The sequence below is a fragment of the Homo sapiens genome, chromosome 12 (assembly GCF_000001405.40).
Source record: "Homo sapiens chromosome 12, GRCh38.p14 Primary Assembly".
Classification (NCBI taxonomy): domain Eukaryota; kingdom Metazoa; phylum Chordata; class Mammalia; order Primates; family Hominidae; genus Homo; species Homo sapiens.
The window spans coordinates 52,668,784-52,686,401 of NC_000012.12; the positions used below are offsets into that span (position 1 = coordinate 52,668,784).

General features: G+C 46.1%; 1 protein-coding gene across 1 annotated transcript, besides 1 other annotated feature; it reads right to left on the reverse strand.

Annotated features, from left to right (window-relative positions):
* On the reverse strand, positions 5,953–11,624 carry KRT1 (keratin 1). The gene is made up of 9 exons (NM_006121.4): positions 10,975–11,624; positions 9,759–9,973; positions 9,380–9,440; positions 8,867–8,962; positions 8,533–8,697; positions 8,276–8,401; positions 7,492–7,712; positions 6,927–6,961; positions 5,953–6,834 (listed from the first exon to the last, which is right to left on the reverse strand). The coding sequence occupies exons 1-9, from the start codon at positions 11,563–11,565 to the stop codon at positions 6,410–6,412; spliced, it is 1,935 nt and encodes a 644-aa protein (NP_006112.3). The 5' UTR covers positions 11,566–11,624; the 3' UTR covers positions 5,953–6,409.
* Positions 6,117–6,617: an enhancer, noted in NCBI's record as "H3K4me1 hESC enhancer chr12:53068684-53069184 (GRCh37/hg19 assembly coordinates)". NCBI's record gives its function as "activates a minimal SCP1, AML or CMV promoter by ChIP-STARR-seq in naive H9 embryonic stem cells {active_cell/tissue: H9 hESC(naive)}" and the evidence as "EXISTENCE:reporter gene assay evidence [ECO:0000049][PMID:30033119]".

A 17,618-nucleotide genomic window follows, 5' to 3' on the forward strand; every position in this document is an offset into this window, starting at 1 on the left:
CGTATAATGGTTGAACCCAGAACCCAACTGTGTATCACATAGAGATGCAGAGTTTCAGCACAGTTTTCAGATACACTGAGTGGTTGAAAAATACAACTACTGTATAAATAGAGAGAAGATCATATTTCTTTTCATCAGAAGCTTATAAGAGTTTTTGTTTGTTTTTTGTTTTTTTGTTTTGTTTTGTTTTTTACCTTTTTGGGAAATTGTGTCATCATTAGCAAAACTACCAGAGTTTTAAAGTTGCCCATAGACGTCCTACATCCACTTGCATTTGTAACTGGTTTAATGCATGGTGATTTTACCTATAGGCACAAATATCTGACTGCTTCATTATGTCTTCCATTGCAGTTCCACCTAAGATCTTACAGGTTGAAATATAGTATGATATTATACCTTTTTTTTCCTTTTCTGTCTCCTTTATACTACAGTGGGGATTTTTTAAAATTCTGTGTTATCACAATATAACTATGCCTTTCTTTCTCTTCCTAACAGTAAAGGGTGTTACTTTAATTTTTGCTATAAGACAAGAGACATGAGACTGATACCTTTAGAACTGCAATTTAAATAAAGAATATTCTTTTCAAAAGAAAGTTTTATCAATATCCATAAAGTCCCTGTTAAAATTTTCACACCAGTTTTTGATAGAACTGGGCAGTTGTGTGAGACTTCCTCATGGTCCCTCCAAGGGACAAACAGAAGGTCCCCATTCCAATGAAGTCTTTCCTGGACTTCCTAAAATTCCAAGAATGCTACAGGCTCCAGCTCAAGACCATCATTTGGAATTCTCTCTCCCAAAGTGCTAGAGAACAGAACAGCCCCTGAGGCCAGTGAAGACTACCCATGGGGAGGAGTTGGGATAGCAGAGTTGAGCTGAGCTAGGATTAGGATCTGAGAGGCAAGGGGTCCAGGGAGAATTGCTGGATTCAGCTGTTCTCCACAGACCTTCAGTGGTTGTCTTAGGCCTGGAGTTGTTGGAGAGAAGGCAGTTAGTGTGTGGGAATGGGAAAAGGTGGGAAGTCTGTTCTTCTCTAGAATTAGATGAATCCCCAAGCTGTGTTAGAGATGTGGCTGTGTAAGAGCCACACAGTTATTGAAAAAAGAAAAAAAAAATTGATCAGTTGTGGAAGGAAGACTGGCTGGCCACTGAATTGATGGCTGCAATGTTGTGGCCATTCAACAAAGAAGCATGGTGCAGAGGGAGCCCCATTGACCAACCTGCTGAAGGTGACATTCTGTCCTTCTAACTGTGCTGCTATGGGGGAGGCACATGGATCTAGACCCAGGGAGAAGAGGTGCCTGCAGGTATCTTAAAGTAAGGACAAAATGCGGGAATTGGTAGGGTGTGGTGGCTCACCCCTGTAATCCTAGCACTTTGAAAGGCTGAGGTGGGTGGATCACCTGAGGTCAGGAGTTCATGACTAGCCTAGCCAACATGGTGAAACCCTGCCTCTACTAAAAATACAAAAATTAGCCAGGCATTGTGGCGGGTGCCTGTAGTCCCAGCTACTTGGAAGGCTCAGGCAGGAGAATCACTTGAACCCAGGAGGCGGAGGTTGCAGTGAGCTGAGATCGCGCCATTGCACTCCAGCCTGGGTGACGAGAGCGAGACTTTGTCTCCAAAAAAAAAAAAAAGAAAAATCCAGGAATTGGGTCACAGGTTGTAATGTATGGACAGAAGCCACAGTCAGATTCCAAAAGGCCTATCTGCTGAAGAATATGCAATTCAAATCCCATCTGGGTGAAGATGATCAAGTCGACTGCAGTGGGAAGGCCAGAGTAGCAAGACATCTGGAAAAGAGAATTAACATATATGTATATTTTTGCCTGAATGTTCATACATACCTTTTGAAGGACACCCAAGAAACTGAGGGGAGTGGTTGCCACAGAGAAAGGGAACTCATGGCAGGGGACAGGAGAACTTTAACCCCACGTTCGCCCTTGTAGATTGCCCTCCTGCTGAGTATTGTTACCAGGATAAGCACCAAGCATCAAACACACACTAGACCACCTAGGGATGGAAGAGTACAATCTAAGGTTCGGGGAGGTCACCAGTAGATCTGGGGATCTCAGTAGCTTTGGTGGATGGCCTCTGAGGAATTCTGACCAGCTTCATGTCTGTTAAACTTTGTCCACTTGAGCAAGTTTCTCCCATTTACTTCCGGTTTTCCTTCCAGGGAGTATCAGTAATTCTTCTGCTCCTTCTTCCTGAGTTATCTGATGATTTATTCTACCCTCCAAATGCTGATGACTCTTTGGTTTACACCTTTAGCCCCATTCATTACAAGGATAAAGCAGATGCACTTGCTACGTAACTCAGCATCTTTCCCCACAAGCCCTCTTGCTAGATTCTTTGTTACTACCCAGACCAGGAATGTGGACTCTCCTCTTTGCCTCACCCAACCGCATCCTCATCCAATCTATCACCAAGTCCTAATGATATAGCAACTAACTATCTCTGTAATGCATATTCTCATTTCTGACCTTCTACTACTTCTAAGGGCTGGAATTAAAGTGCAAGTCCCTATCGTCTTTTGTCTTCACCTTTGCAATAGTCTCTTAAGTCTTCCTGCCTCCAATATGGACCTCTCCAATCTGCCCTGGCTGACTTTTCCAAAACACCAATCTGACCATGACACTCTCCTATTAAGTACTTTTACCAGTTCCTCCTCACCTATGACAGCTGTTTCTGACATAAAATTCCTGAGGGAAAAAGACATTTCCATAAATAGATCTCCCATCAGCAGACCAGATTTCTTAGGGAATACTTGGAAACAAGACAAGCTGTGGTCCATACCCAATTCCTACTCCACTAGCAGTAAGACAACCCCTTTCCCTTCCACTGGACCAGTACATAGTAGGTCTAATAATAGATATGAAAACCCCATCTGAGAACTTGTGACCCAGAAGCCAAAGTCCAGACTCCATAGAATGCCAACAAGGCCCTTCTTGATTGGATCTGGATATCTTTTCCGCATCATTTCTTGTCACTAATTCCATGCTTCTTCAGATGCTTAACTACTTCATGAAATTTCACTCTTCTATGTCCTTATCTATATGATTCCCTCTGCCTTGAAGATCCTCGTCTGCCTGAAAAACTCTGATTCATTCTTTAAAGCCCTGCCAAGCATCACTTTCAATCATCTGTGTTCCTGTATATCTATTTCTGTGTCTTGGATGTATCTCTACCATTGCTACCACCCAGGTCTCTAGGCTCTCTGAAAGCAAGAACCATGTCTCACTCATCATCATCTCCCCAACGCCCAGTTCCTCATACATAGTATTTGTGCAGAAAATGTTTTTTGAACAGAACTGAATCCAGAGTCTTCCTTTATCGTCTTTCTAATGTGGATGCATTTTGGCGTTTGGTCTAACTCAATTTACTTCTTCACTATATACTGACTTACACAGGGTTTTCATTTAATCCTTGTAACCTTACAAGCCTTGGTAAGTTTCCCTGCAAATTGTATTTTTCTCTGTTTCATGACCTTCCCATAAAAACTCGAGTCCAAAGAAGATAAACAGGAGTATCCCCAGTACTGAAATGTGACTAAATAAAGTTGTAACCTAAGAAAGTATGTAGAAAATCTGGGCCAGAGTATAAGAACACATCACTGTTCATTCAGTAGCGTCCCTGGGAAAGAGGTGCTATATCTGTTGACCCCAGAGGTCAGCTCTTCTGTGAAGGAGAGTGAATCATCTCCCTCAAGGCCACCTAACTCTCATTGTTCTAAATCCACAGATCAAGCCAGCTCTTGTCAGTACTTTAGTTTCCCAGATCTCTTGATAACAGGATGGTATTTCAGTCACTGGAAGTATGTGTTTCCCCACAAGCTAATGCTGGACATTCTGGTTGACACATCCTTCATCTCTTGTGTGTTTGGTTCCCATAAATCAGTACTCAGGAGCAGATTCAACTTTGGGTGCACTAACAAATCAATTTCCTGTCCCTGCAGAGCTGTCACTGAGCCACAGTGACCATATCAAGGTACTTCCCTCCATGGAGGCCCTGAGCAGCCAGCTGCCTTTTACTTTTTTGTCACTCCCTTTTTAATTCTTTTAGCTACTCTGTATAACACATTCACAATTCACAAAGGTTTTCACGTTATATTTCTTTTCCTCTTGATGTCTAGAGGAAAATATTCTCATTCCCATTTCTCCTACAAGACAACTTAGGCTCAGGATGGCCAAGTCACATCCAAAGATCCACACATCTTATAAGCTATAGATGCCTTTTCTTTGCCTGCCCTTTAAATAGTACAGTTCCTTGTTCTTTCTACTCTACCATAGTGCCTTTCAAATTCTGACATTAGTCTGAATGGAAATGGACATGGTGGTGTTTCATCCAGCTAAACCCACTGCTGGACTCACTCTGACAGTGACAGCAGGGGAATTTCCATAGGGAAGTGCCCGGAACCATCCCAAAATGGAGCCAGGTGGGATTCCAAAAAACAAAGCACTAAACACCAGGGTGATCAGTGTGCAGTATTTAAAAGGAGGACTAAAGGTTCAGAGTGAAGTGCAGCATTCTCACGGTGGACAGGGACATGAGGGATGTTCTAGCTGGGTATGTCTGCAGTTAAGGAGTCAGGTTATGGAATTTCATAGACGAGTTTAAGGAATTTGGCTCAGGGCGAAGGCTAGTTTCTGTGTGTTTAACAAAAGGGCTATTTCCCAGTGTTTCCCAGCAACAACTAAACAGCTTTGTCAGTGCCTGAGAATGCCCGAGACCCAGCTTTGCTTCAAGCCTGCAAAGGAAAGCATGCAGCTGGCCAAGTGATGGAGTAGACAAGGCACACTGTGTTTCCCGGTCAGGACACAGAAAGACAGCAGGGGACACTGGGGTCCCTACAGAAGGGATAACTGAGAAGGAAGAATAGAGCTCACCTGAGTTGTGTTTGCATAATACATGTGTGATCTATCCTCTCCTTATTCCATTAGCCCTGTGGGACTCTGGAGCTAAGAAGACTTTTCCTAATTGGAAACTAAGGAAATTGATCCTCAGAGAAGTTGACTGCTTTTTTCACGTTCAGAGAACCATTACAAAAATTTTGGTAACTTGCTTCTTTGAGCAAGCATCTACTGAGCTGTATGGAGTCCCACAAGCAATGTTACGTCATCATCATCATCATCATCATCATCACCATTATCATTAAAACTGGCACTTATTTAGTGCTTGCTGTGTGCTCAGCCCTGTGTATTCATCTTATTCAATCCTCACACTATTCCCACAAGGAAGGCATTATCATCCCCAATTTAGACATACTAAAACTGAGGTGCAGAGATGTCTGTAACTTGCACTGTATTACAGAACTAGTAAATGGTGATGGTAAGATTCAAACCCAAGCATATCTGAGTTCAACTGTCCATGCTTCTGGCCACTATGCTATCCTGTTGTACAACTTCACAAGTATGAGCTATGTGTCAACAAGGGAACTTCTTAGATTATGCAGAGCTTTGGGTGGTGGCACAAAAAGAGAAGGGAAATGGAATATCCAACTCTCTATTACCACTCTTAGTTCTTGAACTCCCCAGGCCAAAGTCTGTATTCTGGCTCCAGTAACTGCTGACCCTATATTACTCATGCCCCTCCTTACTGGCTGTTCCACGTGAAGAATTACTTTTTCATGCAATACTTTCCCTTCTTCTCAATGCCACACCTCTTCCTCCCAACCTGCTTGCTCACTGCCCTTTTCAAGAAAGCCTTCTCAAATGAACAAAACCTGTCACCCGGTCTCTCCATTTCTCCATGACATCCCCACCATCTGGGAAAGTGCTTGCTCTCTCTGTGATTCCAGTCTGGTGAAATGTTGCCTGGTTGGCCTCTGCATTTTTCTCATGTTTGTGTGCATGACTTTCCCATATGCCATGTGGCTCTAGTGTCTTCTTTTACCTCACAAAACACCCATCCAGGTTAGACAGTGCCGTAAACAAGGGCGATCGAGACATGGAGAATTTCAAATGCAGTTTATTGCAGCAAAACAAGGAAATGGGGAGTTTAAGACCTCTCCACAAAAGAAAAACAACTTGCTTACACCTTATGTACAAAACCAAAACAGCACAGAGATAAGATGCTAAGGAGCTGTCCACACCCTGGGTCTAACTGGTCCTACTCTGGCTGGCTTAAGGAGGTGCTTTGAAATGTCATGTGGGTGGTGGTCACTGCTGAACTGTTTCTCAGGGAAAGAACAAAGCAGGGTCATAGCCAGGGGACTGAGATTGCCACTGATCTGAAAACTTCATTGGGAAACAGCAGAAAAGAAAGAGCTGGGGGAATAGGATGAGCTAGTGTAACTAACCATAGCTCTTTTCTCCGGTAAGGCTGGGACAAATCGACCTCGGTCTTGCCAAGCATATTTGTTAGTGATGCTGGGGGAGAACTAGAGCTAATGAAACAGAGGGCATCTCTTTATCTGGTTACTCCGGAATAAGTGGTAGAAACAAACTTCACGCTGGAACTGCCACCAGAGGACTTGACACCCCCAGAGCTGGATCCCCGGCCTCCTATGGAGCCTCCAGAGCTCCCGCCGCCAGAGCCCCGGCCGCCAGAGCTGCCGCCGCCGCCGCCTCCAGAGCCACCTCTGTAGCCCCCACTGCTGCTTCCGGAGCCGTAGCTGCCATGGCCGCCGCCGCCACCTCCAGAGCCATAGCTGCCACCTCCGGAGCCGTAGCTGCTACCTCCGGAGCCATAGCTGCCACGGCCGCCGCCGCCGCCACCTCCAGAACCATAGCTACCACCTCCGGAGCCATAGCTGCTACCTCCAGAGCCGTAGCCACCGCCGCCACCTCCTCGGCTGCCACCTCCACTGATGGTGGTGTGGCTTGTGCTCACAGCTGCAAGAGGAAGCTCAGTTATTTTCAACCTCAACTCCGTTTCCAGCCCAACAAAGCCTGCACATGCCCCTGAGAAATCGACTTGTACTTACACACACTCACGTTCGGGGCACATTCTCCAGACATCCTGTAGGAGAAAATAAGAAAATTCCTCAGGACACTCCAGCTTCCCAAACCGCTTCCCCATTCCCCGCTCCACCACCTTGAAGACTTTCCCCATCTGGGTCTTCTCCAATGCACTTAATCTGAAACTTAATCCAATCCCCTCTGGCCTCCCAGACCTGTCATTTTTTCTCAGCAAGAGTACAAACACGGAGAAATTCCCATATAAACGAGACAAGAGCCTTGCAGCCAATGAAGGCCCCCTCTAAAGATGCCGACTTTAGGCCAGCTGCCATCTGAGGCAGCCCAGATAAAGAATAATTTGCTCCACCTCAAAGCTCTTTCTAGATATGTTACAGCCCTAGAAGAAAAAAATAAACAGCTTGGGACTCCAGCTCCCAAAGTAAAACTAGGTCCTTCCTCCTGCTCCGTGTACTTTTCATTTCCCCATACCCAGCACAAGCTGCAATCAGATGGCTGCATCTTCAACAACAATCAGCTTGCAAGGAAGGAAGACCATGAGAAGAGGTTCGACTCCCAGCGTCCCTTCCTCACCTGCTTTCTTCTCCCTCCAGGAGGGTCCTGTAGGTGGCAATCTCCAGATCCAGGGCCAGCTTTGTGTTCATCAGCTCCTGGTAGTCGCGCAGCAGGCGGGCCAGGTCTTCCTTGGCCTGCTGCAGGGCATCCTCCAGGTCATTCAGCTTGTTCTTGGCATCCTTGAGGGCATTCTCGCCACGCTGCTCTGCATCACTGATGGACTGCTGCAAGTTGGAGATCTGAAAAAGAATATGACACCCTCTCATAATATGCATTCCCCACTAGGCCTCCTCATCCCAATTGGTCTCCCCACTCCAGTGAGGCCAATAATGAGTCCAACAGAACCACTTGGCCTTAAGTCATCTCACACCCACCTCCAGATAACACATCACCATGTTGACTTCCTTAAAAGACCTTAGGGATAACTCAACAGCCTCTCTTGGCCCTGAGTCAAGGCTCCTACAACCCTTACAGACTTGACATTCTTCTAAACACCTACTCTAAAACCTCCTGGCTGCCCTTCCTCTCACTCCCCAACTCTTAAGTCCACTTTGGGTCATAGGCTAGATCACTCACATTGACCATCCCATCTTTCTCTACTAGGCCATTCTCACAGATTTCCCTAAAGAGAACCCAGCATGATGGCTGCATTCTGGAAACTAGCATAGTCACAAAAGGAACCAGGGATAATAATGTAGCCTTGGGATGAATTGCAAGATTCAAAACTAGGAAAGCACTCGCCCTTTACCTGAGGGTTACCCCCATTCCATACAGCTGAGTGGTAGAAGGAGAAAGCACATACCTGCTTCTTGACATTGTCGATTTCAGATCTAAGTCTCTGGATCACACGATTCAGCTCAGAAATTTCTATCTTTGAATTTCTCACACTATCCCCATGTCTGCCAGCAGTGATCTGCAGCTCTTCATACTAAAGATGGTAGATAGCGTTTGTTAAATGTAGGCAGAACTCAGCATGGCACAGGCACACATACATGAGATAACACAGGATAGCAAGACAAGCCATTTCAGGGAAACTGGCTAGGCTTTCAGCCCACTCACCTTGCTCTGGTACAAGGACTCGGCCTCAGCTTTGCTCTTCTGGGCTATATCCTCGTACTGGGCCTTGACCTCAGCAATGATGCTGTCCAGGTCGAGACTGCGGTTGTTGTCCATAGAGAGGATGACATTAGTTTCACTGATTTGAGTCTGCATCTGAGACAACTCCTGCAAGACATAATAGGTTAGTGACTCTTACAGCACTAAAACAAAAAACAACTTAGACAGAGAAAGCAGTCAGAAAATAAAAGATAAATATCTATTCTTCTGAATCGTTGTGGGTTCAGGCTTAAAAACTCTCCATTTAGATAAACTTGGTTGAAACTGGAAGACTTACTGCTTGGTAGAGTGCTGTAAGGAAATCAATTTCCTGCTGCAAGTTGTCAAGTTTGGCCTGAAGGTCCACCTTGGTCATATAAGCACCATCCACATCCTAGAGGAACAAGGGACATCATGAAGGCACATTCTCTCCAGGGCAGGTCCCTCTCATTACCTGTGAGGGGATTCTCCAAGCAAAAAAAGGAGCTTTGGGTCTACTCCACTCCTTTTTGCCCCAGGTAAATCACAGTTCCCTAACTGTCCCACCCCCGGATAGCACCATCAAGGGAGTGTGCCTGGCTTGCTGAGAATCTGCCACTCCACTTACTATGTAAGGTGCTGGGAAATATGGAGAAGCCAAGTGCCTGGATCAGTCCAGGTCCATGATGATGTGAAAATATAGCCCCACTCCATATACTCCCCAGGTCTACTACCTGGCTCTCCATATCATGGCTGCTTTCTGCTTAGTAATTGGAGACCCTCTTCCCTTATTTATTTCAAATGTGAGTTCCGTCCTACAGAATTTGCTTACCTTCTTGATGGTCACAAATTCATTCTCTGCATTTGTCCGCTTGTTGATTTCATCCTCATACCTGCAGGAAAGCAGAAACAATTAGGAGATTCAGAGGTGGTAAGACCTGAAGTCCAGCATTCTAAACTAAAGGTGGCATTGCCTATCACTGCCTTTCTATTATGAACCTAGGACATATTGGCCACTACTTTCTACTGAGCAATAAAACCACTAGACTATTTCCATCTCCTGAGAAAATGAAGATTTCTGAAAATGTCAAACTGATGTGCCTCTAACCTAAGAAAAGACATAGCTACATGCTGCTTCATGATCTTAGCTTATTACTTTCTGGAACTCTTTTACAGCAAAAGTTAAGAACTGCCCAGACAGGGTCCCTTACTTGTTCCGGTAATCCTCCACCATGTCCTGCATGTTCTTCAGTTCCGAATCCAACCGAGATTGATCACTCTTCAGTTGGTCCACTCTCCTTCGGAGATTGTTGATGAATGACTCAAAGTAGGGCTCTAAATTATGGGTTCTAGTGGAGGTATCTACCTGCTGCAGCAGCTCCCATTTTGTTTGCAGTACCTGGTTCTGCTGCTCCAGGAACCTCACCTAAAAACACAAGACCCCTTTACTCCTGATGCATAAATGGAGTCTCATAGCCATGGAGAACTGTGCCTCATTTGGAAAAGAACCTCAATTCCTATCTTCTGACCATGACAGAGAAATAGGAAGAAGATGATCAAGTTAATATCATCTGCATAATAAAACCCAACTTGTTAATTCAGAGAGGGCTTGGAAGGGAGTAACTAAACAAATACCAATAGCAAAGCGCATACAGAATTATTGCAATTATGTTTTGAAATAGGTGCATGGTATTTAAGAGATTTGCCTTCCAAAATTTTGTTAGGTATATTACCATAAAAACTGGTTTGCATCCCCAGGACACACACACATTTCAAAAGTATATCAGGAAAATTCAAAATTGGATTTGAAATTTGTTGTGGATAACCTTGGATTGGCACTATTAATGATTAAGCAAAAAATTAAAAAAATGGTTTATCTGAGTTTTTTAGAGCTGATTTTTGGAGATATTAGTATAAAAAAACTCTAGCCTCATCCAGTACCAATGTAAAATTATTAGAAGGCAGAGCTCCCCTCTGACAGCAAAAGATGTTTGGCACTGACTGACCACATGTTTTCTGCTACAATAACACTCTATACTATGTTCACACTCAACTCCCTTTCTATGGTTAGGAAGACCTTTCCAGGGTTCTCACTTGCACCCTGGAAAGTTCAGTTAGCCCCATTTCTATTATCTTCATTCAACAGATATGAGTCCCAATTCCGCTCAAGAGCTGAATAAAAAGCACTTAAATGTTAATGTCACACTGACCCACCTTTAGGTCGACCACGAACCCTTTGTCAAAGAGAGAGTCATTAACACCATTCACAAGCATACATCTAACATATCTCCTAGGAGACCATTCCACAAAACATCCTTTTAATCATGTAAACATGGAAACTTGAGGTTCAAACCTACTGTGTTTTGACTGCACCAATCCCAAGTGGACCAGCGGCAGCCCTACCAGTGCAATGAGAGAGAAACTCACCTTGTCAATGAAGGAGGCAAATTGGTTGTTGAGTGACTTGATTTGCTCCCTTTCTCGAGACTTCACCTTTTGGATCTCAGGGTCAATCTCCACATTGAGGGGCTGAAGAAGGCTCTGGTTGATAGTGACTTCTTGTATGCCACCAGGAGGGCAGACAGGACCATAACCACCCCCATATCCACCACCCCCAAAGCCACCTCCACCAAAACCACCACCACCACTGCCAAAACCACCAAAGCCACCACCCCCAATGCCACCTCCACCAAAGCCACCACCACCAAAGCCACCACCACCAAAGCCACCACCACCATAACCACCACCAAAGCCACTACCACGTCCACCTCCTCTAGCCACACTTATGGAGATGCTTTTACTGCCACCAAGGTTAACAAGACTCCGACTTCCAAATCCACCACCAGCACCAAAGCTACCACCACCACCACCACAGCTTGAAAATCTCCCACCACCTCCTCCACTGCGGCGTGTGGAGCTGCTGGTGGTCCTGCGCTGGTAGTTGATGATCCCAGCAGAGCCAGAGCTGAAGCCCCCTCCACTTCGGTACCCAGACCTGGAACTAAACTGTCGACTCATGTTGACTTAGAGAAAAGTAGGAGCAAGGTAGAGTAAGGGAAGGAGCTAAACACTCCTCTACCCCAAGCATAGAGACTTCCCCTTATATACAGGGAAGAAATTGGGCTTGGTCTTCTAGAGTCAGCGGAGATGCAGTGCCTGTCAAGGGTTTGGCTTGCCTGCAGCCATACAAGATTTTTACGAGCCTCAACAATACGATAAACACTACACACCTAGCTCCCAGGATGGGCTCTCAAAATTGCTGTGCATGCAAGATTGGTTCATGTGGTAATTATTTTATCACACAAGATCTTCCTTCAAGCATTTGTGGCTTTGGGAAAACAGGACCCCACATCTGATACCTGGTGTTTCTTGGTAGGATTTCATAACCCCCATCAAAAAGGCATGAAAGTTTCTATTCTCACCTTGCCTTTGTGAGCTACCAAGCACACTCTCTTACCATGCACAGCAGGTGCAATTCCCCGTGCTTGGATCTCAGAAGGAGCTCTCTGGCCCATTTCTAAGATCTTCTTTCCAAACTCCAGAGCTCACTCAGTTACAACCTGACAAAGAGAAAGGGCTTTAATAACTAAAAAATTAAAAGGTCTTTCATAAATATAAGCTTTATAAATATACCACAGTGATTAATTAAAGGAAGAGAAGCTGTCATTGAACAAGATGGATGAGTGGGTGGTCTGGAAGAACCAGAAGGGAGAGACATTTTTTTTCTCTGTTTCTCAGTTATTCCTTTTCTTGTTTCTTTTCTTCAAAGATAGAGCAGGAGACAGACACCAGCAATAGAAAACAGGTAGCAATGGATAGCATGCAAACGCCCTTGAGTGAAAAAGCCCACAGAGCAGTGAGACGAGTAAATAGAAGCTCTAGGACATTTTGTAAAGCACAGGGGTGGAGGTGAGGCTTGATAGGTGATTCAAGCCTCACACTGGACTGCAAAGAGAGAGAGATAAATGCAGATTTGGAAGGGAAGACAATGAGAGGTGTCTGGAGAGCCTTATATGAGAAGTTTAAATTGTTTCTGGAGGTGATAATAATGATAATACCTAACATGTATCAAAAACTGACCATGTACCAGGCACTGTTCTACGTAGCACATATGTATTAACTTGCTTAATTTTCACAACTTTGAGATAGATGCTATTTTTCTCCCCATTTGTAAAATGAGGAAGCAGAGACACAGGGGTTGAATAACGTGATCAAGTCTACACAGTTGGTAAGTGGGGTGCCTGCGATTTGAAGCAAGAATACCTAGCTATCATGTGCAAGATCCTAAACAGCATGTTGTACGACAGCACAGCAGCCGAATTCAAGTCATTCTGCCTGCTGTGTGTAAAGCCAGACAGCACAGGAAGCGCCCCACCACAGAGAGCTCTGAGGGCAGAAGGCCTGTTTTATCACTCTGAGTCCTTGGCTCCTGGCACATGCAAGTCTTGGAAAATGTTTCTTCAATTCACACTGAGAAGGAGATTTTGGTGGCACAGAGTTTAGTGAGGAGATTTTACTTCCATCCAAGTGCAAGAGTACCCAGCATGCATTGCAATGGACCAGGAAACCTCAGGGGTCTTCCTGGAGAGCAGCACTTGATCAATATCAGTGGATAATAGTGGCACTGAGATCTGGACACACTAGAAGCCCAAGCAGACTTTCATTCGAAGACTTCTTAGAAGCCTGGCATGGTCCCCGGGCCTGCACATAAACACAGAATTGAAGACTCAAAGGGGAGAAGCCAGCTCTAACTTCAGCTGGCTCCAAGTAACTCTGTAAGTGGCAAACCATAGATGTACATGGGAAGTCTCCACTATGGTGTGCAAGATCTATGGGAGAAAGGGAGTCTGTGAAGATCATCTGGTCCCATTACTCTGTGGCTCTGAATCGGGCTGGCTGTGTCGGTCCTCTCCATTGCACTCCGCTATTGAACCTTGTCCCTCTTCTCCTCCCAGTTTTTGCCCTATACCCTCCTCCAGAAAGTGCCCCTCACCGCTCCCCTGCTACTCCTCTCCCTCGCCATCACTGTGGCACTGCTGTCTGGGACTCTGTCCTAGCACTAAAATCCTTCGGCTGCTAAACCAACCATCTCTTTAGGGAATGAGTAATTCAGGTCTTGTTAGGAACAATGGAGACTGGGACAGTCTTGGCATGGTAATGACTGTTGCCTAATCATTTTCTGACAAGCAATCAAAATTATTTTAGTTCAGCATACTCCCTCATGAGACATATTGTTCTGCACAATCGATTCCTTCTAGCATTTTGGAGGGGTGTGAGTATGTGTGTGCACACATGTTTGTGTGCACACATGTTTGTGTGCATGTGTGTGCCAGCCAAAAACAGACCTTGGCAGTGATCCACACTCCCATCTTTGAACTAAGAAACTGACATACAGAAAAATCAAAGGTTTGAATGAATGGTCAGGGAATTGGTAGACAACTTAGCTGCAAAACATACCCCAGGTGCTCCTGTGAGAAGGGAGAAATGCAGGACTAGCAGGAATAAGTGCCATAAACCTCACCATAGCTTACATTTGCACAGCTCACCCCACCAAACACATATGCAAAGAGCATCCCACAAGAGCCCTGAGAACTAGGCAATCAAGCTGTTCTCAACCCATTTCATGAAACAGAAAACTGATTCTCAGAGATTAAGTGGCTTCCTCTAGACACTCCGGCTAGGAAAAGACACATCTGGAAGCAGAATCTGGGTTTTCTGATTTCAATTCAAGTGACATTCCTCCCTGAACCGGGAAGAGGCTCAAAGACAGGCAAGTGGAACTGGGCCCTATAAACAAGTACACAGAGAATTACAGAATGTTCTCATCCATGGGGCCTCAAAGGTCACATCATCTAACCTGCCTCACAGAGAAGTGAGAGCACAGGCCCAAAAAAGTAAAAAAAAAAAAAAAAAAAAAAAAAAGTGTCCAAGTCATAAGTCAATTCCTGAGACTCTTCCAATTGTTGAATCAAACTCCTTTTCTTTTTCCACTGCCCACTTTCGAGGCAGCCCAACAGAGCTGGAGCTGCAGTGCTGCCAGACCAGGCCCGTCATCTCCTGTGATGTCCCCAGGATCAGTGTGGGTGTGTGGGATATGAAGAACCACATGCAGGAAAGGTGTGAGCCACACACTCTCTCCTGGCTTACTTATGTACTGTGCATTTATGAAATAAAGACAAAATGAGAAAGAAAGAGACACTAACATCTACAGGCAGCAACTATGCTGTTAGGAGCCACATTGCATTTAAATACCACACAAAGTCTGCGTCGTGGGAGCTCTTAGCCCCATTTTAAAGAAAAGGCATCTTAGGTTTATAGAGGTTGAAATATGTGCCCAAAGTCATCCAGCAGGTAACTGACAAGCCACGCTTGCCTCACTCCAGAGTCCAAGCCCGCCGCATCACATGGGCTCCTTCTGTCATTGGCCTGCTCTCACCACCAGCACCACCTACATCTTACCCTGCTCACCCACTCCCCCGGCCTCACGCCTTGACCCCTTCACTCTCGTGCTTTGCCCAGACTGATCAACCCTCTTCTTCCCTTTCCATCCCTGTTCCTCTCTGTCTTCCAAGCCCACTTCTACTCTTCTCTTTTCTGAAAGGTCTTCTGGTTGCCTCGGCAACTTGCCACAAATCCCTACCCATAGTCAAGCTCTGGGGCACCAAAGATCTCAATTCCTGAGCATTTGGTCCTGAATCTGTTTTTGGTCCATCAGGGCTTGTGGGCAAATGCCTTCATCTCTCGCTCAAGCAGGCAGCAGACAGGTCCAGATCTCATCTCCTCCAGGGAGTTTTCCTCAGTCCACATCGGGCAAGTGCTCTATTGGTCTCTTTTTCCAAGCTCGGCTGCTGCCAGACTTAGTACATATTGATGCATTTGTTGGCTCATTTTCATGCATGTGCTTGTGTGTTTCCTGGCCCCTCAATCACTCTGGAAGCCTTTGGAAAGCAAGACTAAGTCCCCTGTGTCTTTTGATGTCCTCCCAGCATCCCACATGGCCCCTTATACTTGAGAGTTACCCCAGCGGTGCTGGATGACAGAGCACCAAAACACCCCCACCCAAGGACTCACACACACAACCCAGAACTGATCATTGAGATGAGGCTGCCAGGGGCTGGCTGTGGGGCATGGGCAGGAGCAGGTGTGGTGATGTTTTGAGAGCTTTTGTGGGATGGGACCAAGAAAAGAGTGAAGAAAGACATGCAGTGACAAGCCACCCAGCCCTGAGGGACTCCACCAGGGACATGGGACAGGGAAATCCCAGGGGAGTGAGGAAAATTGAGGCCTGGGTGGAGTGAAGAGAAATCACAGACAATGGGGAGGCGGGGCGAGATGTTGAAAGCAGCCAGGCAGCAGAGGAGGGGCCAAGGCTTCTTATGCAGGAGGGAGAGCTGCAGACAGAGGGGCAGCCCTATTTAGGATGGACAGCAAAGAAGGAGGTCCTCAGGAGTCACTCACTAGCAAGGCTGGAGCAGAGCAGAGGCCAGGAAGGAGGAAACCAAAGATGAACATGGAGGAGAGAGGCGGTGGGGCCCATCTTGCTCTGTGCCATGGAGGCTGCCAGGCCTGGGCTCCGCTCCTGATTCTGCACTGCTCTAGGCAGGTCACTGACCCTCTCTGAGCCTAAGTTTCCTTCCTCTGTAAAAAGGAGGCTCTATGTACCTTCCAGGGAAACTGAAGCATAGTAGAGTATAGATAAAGAAAAAAGGAGCCAGGCGTGGCGGCTCACGCCTGTAATCCCAGCACTTTGGGAGGTAGAGGTGGGCGGATCACGAGACCAGGAGATCGAGACCATCCTGGCTAACAAGGTGAAACCCCGTCTCCACTAAAAATACAAAAAAAATTAGCCCAGTGTGGTGGCAGGCGCCTGTAGTCCCAGCTACTCGGGAGGCTGAGGCAGGAGAATGGCGTGAACCCAGGAGACGGAGCTTGCAGTGAGCCGAGATCTCGCCACTGAACTCCAGCCTGGGCTACTGAGCGAGACTCCATCTCAAAAAAGGAAAAAAGGAAAGATTTTTCCCTCACTCTTGCATTTGAGAGAACCCAGAAGCTGATATAATAACCAGAAAAAAAAAAACAAACTTTAGAACAAGCCCCTGATTTACTGGAAACAGTGAAAAGGCTGGAACAGGACATTTAAGCCCTTGACATGGGCCCATTTCCTCATCTTGTGAGAGAAAGCCTTAAGAAGTCCACGGACTTGCCCTGGGAAAGCTAGGGGGCATCACATGGAAGAAGGGATCACAGGTGCATCACCGGGCTCACCTGAGGCTGGAGGGAGCTGGGGCCAGATGCGAGGAGCCTTTGCCCTCACTGCAGAGTGCCTGCTCTGCAGGGGGAGCACAAACACTGAGGGCTGAGCACACAGGGGCAGGTGTGGAGGTCAGAATGCACACTTAGAGCCCCCTGGAAGCCCTTCCAGGCTTGGGATTGGGCCACTCGGAGCCCGTCCTCCATGCTAGAAAACCTCCCAATACCCCAAATTCCCAGCCAGCCCTTCAACAGAGCATTGATCAGCCTGAAGACATCCCATTTCCCAGACTGATCGGAAAGCTGATAAAACCAGGGCAACCTTGAAGAGGGACCTTCAAGCTCAGTGTAATGCCCAGTAATTTGCTGGACTTTTTTCCCTGGGACCAAATTAACCAGCAAATGGCTCATTAATTTGAAGATGCATTCTGGGCCAAAAGGCTGGGTAATTGAAAAGAGATGACATTCTCAAGAGACTCTTCCTCAGACCAGGAACTTTCCCAGCCCAGAAACGCACACCTTGTCTAAGGTCAGATGCAGTTAGAATTTTACTGAGTCAATGATTGCTCCTCCAGTTAACCATGTCCTCAGATCAAAATCTCTGTGGATGAGAAGCTGGTGGAACTAAATTTATATTTCCAGAGTGCCCCACCCTGCCACCCTGCCTCTCAGAGCAAAGAGCAGCTGGCAGACTTTCCCTGGGACTCTCACCAACCCGGGTGTTTGCTCCCTCCTGCCAGCCTCTTGGTTTATTGATGAATGAGCCTGCTTGGCTCTCCCTCTGAGTATCTGCCTTGTGGGAATAGCATTGATTAGGGGCA